This window comes from Homo sapiens, chromosome X (genome assembly GCF_000001405.40).
Source record: "Homo sapiens chromosome X, GRCh38.p14 Primary Assembly".
NCBI lineage: Eukaryota > Metazoa > Chordata > Mammalia > Primates > Hominidae > Homo > Homo sapiens.
Window position 1 is genome coordinate 148,437,557 of NC_000023.11, and position 10,816 is coordinate 148,448,372.

The 10,816-nt window shown below is 41.3% G+C and overlaps 2 annotated features.

Annotated features, from left to right (window-relative positions):
* Nucleotides 3,180–3,853: an enhancer, noted in NCBI's record as "OCT4-NANOG-H3K27ac hESC enhancer chrX:147522255-147522928 (GRCh37/hg19 assembly coordinates)". NCBI's record gives its function as "activates a minimal SCP1, AML or CMV promoter by ChIP-STARR-seq in naive and primed H9 embryonic stem cells {active_cell/tissue: H9 hESC(naive and primed)}" and the evidence as "EXISTENCE:reporter gene assay evidence [ECO:0000049][PMID:30033119]".
* Nucleotides 3,854–4,528: an enhancer, noted in NCBI's record as "OCT4-NANOG-H3K27ac hESC enhancer chrX:147522929-147523603 (GRCh37/hg19 assembly coordinates)". NCBI's record gives its function as "activates a minimal SCP1, AML or CMV promoter by ChIP-STARR-seq in naive and primed H9 embryonic stem cells {active_cell/tissue: H9 hESC(naive and primed)}" and the evidence as "EXISTENCE:reporter gene assay evidence [ECO:0000049][PMID:30033119]".

Sequence of the window (10,816 nt, forward strand, 5' to 3'; positions counted from 1 at the left end):
AACAATTTATTTCACACTCATGGCCAATGCAGGGACACTGGATGACATTTTATCACTTCCCAATCTCATGATATGGCCTCAGTGTCCACTACATCAGGGAATCTCAAACATGGAAAACTCCCACTTCCCCCATAACTACTTCCAACTTTACAGTGACATGTGTCACTTTCACAGCCAAACTTAGATATACCGTTTGAATTCACTTTAAGGGAGGCTGAGAAGTCATATTATGTGCCAAGGAAGGAGAAGAGAGCTGATTATGGTGAGTTCTGACTATTTGCACCAAACTATCTATATGCCAATTAACTCGCCAAATGATACGTCTAGCTCAGACCTCTCTTCTGACTTCCAAATCTATTTAAGTTGGGATTCCTGGTTGCAAATAATAGAAATCTAACTCAAATGATTTATGGATATAACATAATTTGTTTTCCAGATTATTAAATTGTCTTAAGAAAGCTAGAGTCTGGGATATCTGCCAGAATTGAACTGGAACCAAGAAAACTAGAACCCAAGAAGGACTCTGTCCATCTAGTGCTGTATTCCTCTCTGTGTGCATCTACTTCATGATTTCCCTTTGCTTGTACCTGAATGTTTCTGCTCCTAGTTGACATTTCAGAACACAGTCACTACCATCCTTTGAATTTCCAAGTCCTCTGTTTTATCTGGCAGAAGAGAGTGTGACTCCTCTTTATCAGCCCTGTGTCTCAAATGCTAGGAAAGAATGTTGATTGTTTCAGCCTAGGATAGGTGCCAGCTCCCTGGCTATATCACTGTGTGTAGGGGCTCTGCAGCTAAGCTAGTGATGGAGAGTGGGCAGCAGAAGGGCAGTTCAGAGAAATGAAGGACAATTTGGGGATAAACAAGACAATAGACGTCAAGTAAAAAATTCAGTAATACATTTAGCCAAGAGTTCATGAAAATCTATTATATACCCAATCCTGTTCTGGGCACTGGGCATGCCTTACTGAATGAGATAGAGCCCCTGCCCTCGAAGAGGTATATTCTTATGGAGAATAATAACAAAGAAATAAATAACATAATTTGAGGTGATAAGAAATACTAGGAAGGAAAATAAAATGAAGTAAATGGAATAATGAGTGAAAGGTAGTGCTACTTGAGATAGGATGATGAAGGACATGACTTCTGAAAAGGTGGCATTTGAACAGAGCCATGAATGAAATATGATAGCAATGCATGAGAATATCTGGAAGGTAGAGTGTTCCAGGCCAAGGGAAGAGAAAATACAATGGCCCTAAGGGATAAATGAGCTGGAGGAGTTCTAGGAAAAACAAGAAGAGTAAGTGAGGGTCAGAGTGGTAGGAGCTGAGCCTGGAGAAACAGGCAGGGTCAGGTTATGCCTAGTTGGCTCTGTTAAGGACTTTGGATTTAAATCTGAGTGCAGAGGGAAGTCTTTGAAGAGATTTGAGAAGCAGGAAGATATGATTTTATTTACATTTTTGGAAGATCATTCTGGCTGCACTGATGATAAATCCCCTAGTGGCGTGAGAGTAGAAGCAGGAAGCCCAAGTAGGGGGCTGCGGCAGTTGTTCAAGTGAGAGAGGACAGTGACTAGAGCTAGAGGGATCACAGTAGAGGTGGTGAACAGAAGTGTTTGGACCGTGGGCGCATTTTGAAGAAACAGCTGTCAGAACCACCGATAGATTGGATGTGAGGAGCGAGAGAGAGAGAGAGGAGAGTCATAGGTTTTCAGCTGGAGCACCCAGATAGATGGTGGTACCATTTACTGTAATGGGGAAGATGAGGAGAAGCTGTTCATTCCTGTGGGAATGAACAAGATTAAGTTATGCTTCTTTGGATAAATTAAATTTCAACAGACAGCTATCAATAAGGTGGGAGCCATTGGTGTATAGATAATATAAATCCAAGGGACTCAATGTGTCATGAGCACACCAAAAGATGGATGCTTGAAACCAAGCTCTCAAGCTTCCCACACCCTCTCTTCAACCTGTATCTCCTCCGGTAATCCCTAGTTCAGTAGAACATATCACCACATACAAGATTGTTCCAGTGGAAAAACCCGCATGTCATTGTTACTTTTTCCTCTTCATGCCCAAACACCCAATTTATCACCAAGTTGTAATTGATTTCAAAGGCAAAGTTTCTCTTGAATCCTACGATTTCTCACTAAAACAATTGTGTCTTTTCCCTGCTCAAAACTATTTGAGGGCTTCTCATTGCTTGAAGATAAATCCAAACCCTTCCCACAACTCACAAGGCTTTGAATGAGTGAACCACTGTGGTCCTCTCAAGCTTTATTTTATATCTCACAGGGTTCTTCCTGGTGCCCTCACTCCTGTCGCACCAGCCTTTTTTCAGTTCCTTGAACACACCATAAACTCTCTCCTCCAGACCTCATTTGTTGTTCCTGAAACACTCTTTCTCCACCTCTGTGTAAGTTAATTTCTTTTTTTTTTAAATAGACATTATAGCATAGTGGTGACAAGGACAGGCTCTGCAGCTTCAGAATCTTGGAGAATTACCTAAATTTGCTGTATGCCTCAGTTTCTCTATTTGTGCAATGACGATAAATGGCTTTTGTGAGGATTAAGTGCGTTCAATCATGTAAAGCCCTTCAAATAATACCTGGCGTGGAGCAATTGCCCAGGAAACAGGTGCTCTTATTCATTCGTTCAGGTGCAGTTTCAATGTCCTGTCCTCAGAGAGGTCCTTTTATGATGCCAGCTGCCCCAGACATGGTTAGGTCTCCCTGGTGGATGTGCCCATGGTCCACTGTACATATCTCTATCTCCCTTATCACGATTATAGTAATTTAATGTAACCCTGAAATTACAGCTCCTCCAATGCTGGGCTGTCTTGTTCTATCTTTCTCTAACAGTTAAACACAGTGTTTCAACGTATATAACTAAACAAAGTAATACATATGCCACACACTGCTAAACATGGGGATTCAAAGATATCATCATACTCAGTAACACACACATACACACCCACATACACCAAGCTCTGTTAACTGAGTTCTAACATTCATCATTTAATGTAGTCCATATAGAAAAGCAATACCCTGTTAAACATAGTGCGTCACACAGATATTACTATAGTGAGTTATTCACGCACCTTGCTCTGTTGAAATAGTTTCAGCATGCATCCCTAAAGAAGTCTACATGTAGTATGTGTTGCTAAACAGTGTTTCATGCAGATATCACTGTAGTGAGTCATTCGTGCACCTAGCTGTGTGAAGCATAGTTTCAAATATGCCACTAAAGAAAGCAATACATGCACCCACACTGCTAAATACAGCATTTCACAGATATGTCACTATACTCAGTACACATGCCTCAAGCTCTGTAAACAGAGTATCTTTTACGGGGCATATTTGGGAAGGTGAGAGTCAGTCTATTCCAGAGGCCACCGCTACTCTGTCTTGCTTGTGCCTTCTTGCTTCTCCCATTTCCACTTCATTTTGCAGCCTGCAATTCCTATGGACTATTTCCGTAGTCCAAGGGGTGAACACACATGCTCTCACAGGAAATCCACTTATGGGTTCACTCCAGTGCTTAATAACTTTTATTGTGCAGGGCCTAGAGCCCTGCACAGCCCCAGTCTTCACAGAGAACATCCTCACCTTCACACCTTCTCTGTGCAGATTCCCACTCAGCTTTAGGGAGAGTCGTCAGAAGAATCCATTCCTTCCCCTAGAACCTCGAACAAGGCTTTGACATTCCTAAGTCCATTCCCTATCCCCCTGCTGGGAAGGGCTCTTTTACAGGCCTTCTCTTTCCAGGCGATCCAATGGGAAATTATTAGGAAGAGACAAGGCCTCCATATGAACATACGTGCAGCCCCAAAGGACAAATATAAATTCTCCAAACAGAGTTGTCTGAGTCCTCTTTAAAGGAGAGAAACACTTCCTGACTCCACAGCGATCAGCCCAGCTGACCCAGGAGGTACTGGAGGTAGCAATTTACTCTGCTATGCAGTGCTTTGTCAGTTCCCCTTTGTTCATTTTAATGCTTTCATGACTGTGCCCGGGAGGCCTGTAGGTGCATAAGAAATGGGAGCCATTACTGGGTTGTTGGACTTTTAATAGCCACCACTTAGCTACACAAACACCTGGCAGAAGCTTTGAATGGAAAGGGATTCCTTTGTCTTGCCTCTTTTGAACGTGGTCAGTTTGCTAGGCAGGTTCCTCAACTGTAGTCTCAGTCTGATGAAGGGGGTCCAAAGTGAGGACTCAGTATCCTCTAAGAAACTGCCAGGGGTAGAGCTGCTGATGGGACAGCACAGGGCTGCTCTTGAGTTTACTTATAAAATGATTTGAATAACATTTATTTTTGCCTCAGACTGGAAGCTCTGTTTGTCCCCATATCCTAGTTCCTGGCACATAGTAAGTGCTTGATGAATATTTAGTCAAGGAATGAAATTTTCAGAAGTGTGATTAACTGCTCACATACTTAGATAAGTTATGAGAGAATTCAGAGAGCTCAAGTGGCAGGCTACAATTTGAGCAGAAAGGAGACCAACCGAGTTCACTTTACATTAAGGACCATGCAGTTAAGGACCCTAACTAGGAGATGAATTTGTATAGAATTTGTCTTGCCAGTTACCATTGGTCCAGGTGGGAAGTCCGCGTCTTGAGGCAGAGGGCTGAAACCCAGACAAAGACTCAAGTATTGTGAAGTGGTGACTTTCCCAGGGATCACATGGAGGAAACAGGTGAGTTCTAGAGGCCTAAATAAGCACCCTGGTAGGGAAAATGTCCTGAGGAACATGGAGGTGAGATACTGGCAATCGGAACTTCCTCCGCTCAGAGCAGATGGGCAGAAGGAAGCAAACCAACAAACCTCAATGAACTTAACAAAAGAAGTCACCTCTTCACACATCCAGAATATGGATCTGAAATACAAAAGTATGAGGGCTGAGCAGCATGCAAGTAACTGGCAGTAACCTTTGAGTAAATATCTTTTTAACATAGAGGCTCTGCATTCTGCCTAAGGCCAGAACAAGGCTCCAGGGGTTGATGGGAAAGAACCCTCAAGTGGGTTCAGGAAATGAACTTGGCTCAGGGAAAGTTTACAAACTAAGGTCTGGATGCCAAGCTGTTCCTGACAGCAGAGGATGATAAAATCAAAAAGAGTGCCTGCATTATTTTGACCTCCTGGACACAATCCCTTCATTCCTCTTTGTGTTCCTTTGCTTTTGCTCTTCTCTTTCTTCCATTCTTTCTGTCAATTCCATTCTATTATTTTTCCTCCTACTTTTCCTCCTCCTCTTGTTCTTCTCCTTCTCTTATTCTTCTCCTTATTCCTATTCTTATTCATATTAAGCAGATAATAACTGAATACCTCTTTGTCATACAAGATTCTCACATTACCATTATTTATCTGAAGCCCAGCTCAAGACCCAAGACTGGTAGGTTCTGAGATGTCTTTCTGATCCTGACACCATTCTCATGTTTTAGTTTTTATCTTTGGAAGTTATAATTCTTTTTTTTTGGTCCCATTGCCATGACCTCAATTACCGACACTTTCTAAACTTTCTAGAATTCATTTATGCCCATTGCAAGCTTTTAAGAACAAGGTCTATTTCCTTGTTAGACCTTATCATCCATTCATTCATTCAAAGCATCTGTTGAGTGCCAGATCTGTTCTAGGTGCTTGTGTAATCTATAGATTTATTGCTTTCAGAAAGATAAGCACAGAAAACATATTTATTAATAACATCTTAGTCTGTCCAGGCTGCTGTAACAAAATACCATATACTAGGTAGCTACTAAACAACAGAAATTTATTTCTCATAGTTCTGGGAGCTAAGAAGTCCAAGATCAATGGACCCGCAGATTCAGCGTCTGGTGAGAGCCCACTTCCTGGCTCTTACATGGCACCTTCTAGCTGTTTCCTCACGTGGTGGGAGGGGCTAGCTAGTCCTCTGAAGTTTCTTTTATAAGGACACTAATCCCAATCATGAGGTCCCTGCCTTCATGACCTAATCACATCTCCAAAGGCTCTACCTCCTAATACCATCACCTTGGGGATTAGGGTCTCAACATATGAATTATGGGGGGACACAAACATTCAGACCAGAGCAGTCAGATATCTTTTTAAAAAGAATGAAAGAGGACAGTGTTTAATATTCTCAATGCTGATTAAGCAACCAAACACAGTGCAATTTTATTTTAGGACTGATAGTTGGTCTAGCCTAACTGAATTGGGTTTTTCCAGCACTTTTTGCACAGCCTCAAATTTAGCCTTCTGATACCTTTTCAACTGACAAGGAAGTTAGCTGTTCTTGCTAAAGGTCATCATCATTGCAGGCTGCTGTAGTTTATTGCCCTTAACCTGGCAGAATTCCCTTTAACAGGTTCAATTTTCATAAAGTCTTTTCTGCTTTTTTGGAGCAGCCATAATTTAGTGCCCCCAATTAATTGAGGGAGCTAAAATTTCATACATAGTTAACTACATCTTCAATCAGTATTTGGTGCCTAGAAAATAAGTCCCCAGTGGACATTTGCCCCTGCAAGTCATGTTGCACTGAAAAAATTGTGCCTGTTCGCAGACTGTTTCTCCTTCAAATGTTCAAGTCAGCAATGATAGCAGTCAGCTAAGTAGAGGGTGTTTCTGAGAAAAAGAGTGCTCAATGCTACTCTGGGGTATCTGACAAAGAAATGGAAGTGACTTTAACTTCCTCCAAGTAGACGAGTCAATAGTTATTATTATTCACTCTTCATCCCATGTTAAATAAATGAGGGTCCCCAAGAAGCTATACATTCTCTTCTAATGGGTTGTTACTATTGTGTAGAAGCAGTTACTCAACCCAGTTGCTGTCAGGACCTCACCGATTATAGATGGTTCAGATATGGCAGCTCACCCTGTACCCTCATCCAAATCCCTGGAAGAAACATCTCTGAAAGGTTTGCACAGATTTCTGACTGGGATGAACACTTCAGCAAAGGAGAGACAGAGTCCTGTCCCTTTGGAGGAGTCAAGAGTCCCTTTTGGAGTCAGGAGGTCTGGGCTCTGGACTCAACTCTGCCATTGATTCCTTGTGTGAGCTTGCACATGGCTTTTCCCCAAATCCTGCATCTGTTTCCCCCACTCCAGATCTTTGATTGTTGCCTGCTATCACTACACATTGCAGGAGAATTGAAAACAGGTATCTACTCAACAAATGTCCATAGCAGAATTATTCATAATAGTCCAAAAATAGAAACAACTCAAATGTCCATCAACTGGTGAATGAATAATCAAAAATGCAGCATGTCCGTATATTAAAAACTTATTCAACCAATAAACAGGAATGAAGTACTGATACATGCTATGGTAAAAATTAACCTTGAATACATGATGTTAATTATGCTTATTGAAAGAAGCCAGAAACAGAAGGCCACAAACTGTATGATTCCACTTATATTAAATGTCCAGAATAGACAAATACATAGACACTGAAAGAAGATCAATGGTTGTCAGAGGCTGGGGGAGGGAGAATGGAGAATGACTGCTTAATAAATACGGGGTTTCCTTTTGGGGGTGATGAAGGTGTTCTTGAATTTGTTAGTGGTGAGAGTTATACAACCTTGTGAATATACTGAAAACCACTGAATCATGCATTTTAAAATAAAAGAATCACCATAATAGCTTGTTTGAATTATGGATTCCAGTAAAGAGTGGAGACCAGATCATCTATATTTTTAAGAAGTGGCCAGGTAACTCTAACGGTCAGACAAGTTTATAATGACTTTTTATTAAGGGCCCTATCCAGCTCTACTATTTTACTACTTGCTGTTCAGATTATTCATTTGTTCATCCATGCGCCATTCACTGTGCACTTGAATAAATGTATCAGACAGCTCGTGGTAAAGATATGTGGAATAGACAGTTCTCACCCTAGTGAAACATACATCTAGTGCTTTGGTTACAAGAAATGTTTCTAAATGCCTTTTAAATTTTAATTCACATTCTATTAAACAACCAAACAAACTACTATAGAGAGCTCAGCACATCTACTTAATAAAACATTTTTTAGATGGAAAACGAGAATCATGATGTTGAAGAGTAGCTTCTCACCAAATTACCCTTCTTAGACCTAGTCCTGCAGGGTCTATGACTAACTTCCAGAATCCCTTTGGTTAAATTAATAACCAAGACACTCAATGGTCTTTTGGAGCGCAATAATATGGAAGACTCCATACTGAGACATCATTTCTGTGGCAGCTCTAGTCCATGGCAACACAGAAGGCTGAACACATTCAAGGTTTGGGGGAAAGCCTTTCTAACTCATGAATAGGAGGGGGCCTCACAGCAGATGCCTCTCTTGGCACTAAGAAAAAAAGCTGCTTCTCACACTGTCACTTGCTGTCATAAAGCCTAGAAAATTCTGTGATTGGCCTTGAAAAAGAAATGAAACCACTATACAATGGTGTGATTGAAATTTCAAAAAGGGTGCCACACTAATTAGTGCTTATGATTCGGAGACAAATTGCTTGAAATGATGCTGATGTTTTTGAATGCAATAGAAAAATGTATATTCTCAATCAAGAGTAGGCTCTCGAAAAGGTTTTTTTTTTTTAATTGAATTGAAAAAAATAGGAGGGTTCATAAAAAGAGGTAGCAGAGCAAGATTCTCCCATGCACACTTTTAGAATTATGGCAGATCCTGCTACTGCCTATCTTCTGTGCATTCAGGGAGCTTCAATGTCTTCAAAGTGGTCTCTCCATACCAAGAGGAATGAGATTTGATGAAGAGGGAAGAATGATGCAACCAAATCATTCACTTTCCTGCAAAAATATTTCTACTTTGGATAGAGACAGAGAACACCATCCATTTTTTAAAACTAGAATGCTGGGAGCTTCGTGAGACTCTTTTGTTCAAGCCTCCAGGCCTCTTAGCGCAACTAGGTGGGGCACACCTGGAATAGAAAGCCCTATGGAGGGACTTCTGCCTATCTGGCTGGCTGCAGCAGATACTCCCACTTACTCCTCTCCTCCCCTCTTTTTTCTCCCCTCATATCCTCTTCCCTTTCTGTCTGTCACCCTTTGTCTACCCTGCCTCAGGCTTTGTTCTAGGTTCTGCGGAACCAGAGATAAGTTAGCCTTGTTCTTGTCCTAAGGGAGCTCACAGCCAGTGAGGGGACACAGACAGCAGACATATGAATACCAGGCCAAAAAAATTCCCGTTTCAGAGGTGTGCATAGGAGGGAGCAAGTACTGGTAGCTTCGCTCGGTAGTGGTATGGCAGAGTAGATGGGCAGGGGCCAGCAAGTCTTCCCTGGGGAGAGGAGAACGATGAGTCAGATGCTATGATTTCCTGCAGAAGAGAGGTACATTTTCAATGCAAAGGGCTTTGACCAGTCCACATGTTTGTGGGAAAGTAGGAGGAAGCCACATGAAGCCTGGACCTTTAGGTGTTTGGATGTGCCTTTTCAGGATGATGGGGTACAAAGGCTGCTGACTTCCTGATTTCCACTGGGGATGCCTGGTTTTTCTTTTCCATGTCTGGCCCTGTAATTTTGCCATTTAGTCGCAGCAAACATGCTAGGGGGTATTGCTTGTGGGAAATTTATTAAATATTTCAAGCTAAATGTGGTTAGTGGAGGATTATAGAACACTTACTTTGTTACTTTGGTTAAGGGCAGGGGAGAATCTTTTTTTTTTTTTTTAAGGAAAAGGCTACCCTGATTATCAGAACCCTATGAAATAAAATAAGGGCACCTGTTTTCTTCCTCGGAGGAAATACTTTTTAAAAAGCAAGACCCCTTCCAGATTTCTAAGGGCTCCCGGGTTCTTGAATGCTTATGAAATAAATGTTATTTTCAGGATAGAATGTGCCTGCTAAAAATCACAGACCAAGAAGGCATCTCTCTGGCTACTAAATACTTGGGCTGTGGTGTGGTGGACGTGACAGGCTAGAATTTCAGGATGAGAGACTCTTTCCTTCTTTCTTTTGTGCTTTGGGATATAACAGTGCTGGGGAGCTTGGTTATTCATGCACCCATCTTATGACAAGAAGACCATGCATGGTAGTAACCTACATTTGAGAGCTTACCCCAAGGGTGGCTTAGAGTTTAGATTGATTAATATTTGTTCAGATATTATCTAATGGAATCCTTGATTTTGTAGAATGGGGAAAATTAGAGAAGGACAAGCCCTGTAATGTTTCTTTATGGAATTGAGGCTGTCCAATAGGTCTTTTATGTCTAGTTTAAGTTCACCACACGTCGTCACTTATATATACATTATTATTTTCCTGTTTAGCGTATAAAATCTAAAGAAATGGTAATACAGCCATGAGATATTGCAAGTAATCTGGTGATGAGAAAAACAGAGACATATTGCTTATTTCTCACTTTTTTCTGATGTTACTGAATGCCCTTCCCTTCTCTAGTTGTTTCCTTGTGATTTTGTGCCACAGTTTAGCACTGCACAAGTCCTAATTCTGCAATACGGTTTGCTGAGTATCTCTAGGTGTGGAGAATAGAGCTGAAATAAAATGTATTTGTAGGCCATAGTTAACTCCTACTTGCTCGTGCACAGAGATGTAGTGCTGAATAGGACATGGGCTTTGGAGGGAGGAGAAGTTGCATAAGAACCACAGTCTTGCCCTACAGGTAACAAATACTCACAGAGCAGCTGCCATTTTTTCACTTATTAGGTAAGTGAACTTGAATAACATGTTTAATTTTTCCAAACCATGGTTTTGTCATCTGTAAAATGGGAATAATCACTCCCATGCTCAAACTCCTGCACTGTCTTCCAATCACACTCGGAATAATATCCTGGGCCTTTACCATGACCCTAGGCAGGGTTTGCAAACTATCCTAAAGAGAAGAATCACCCGA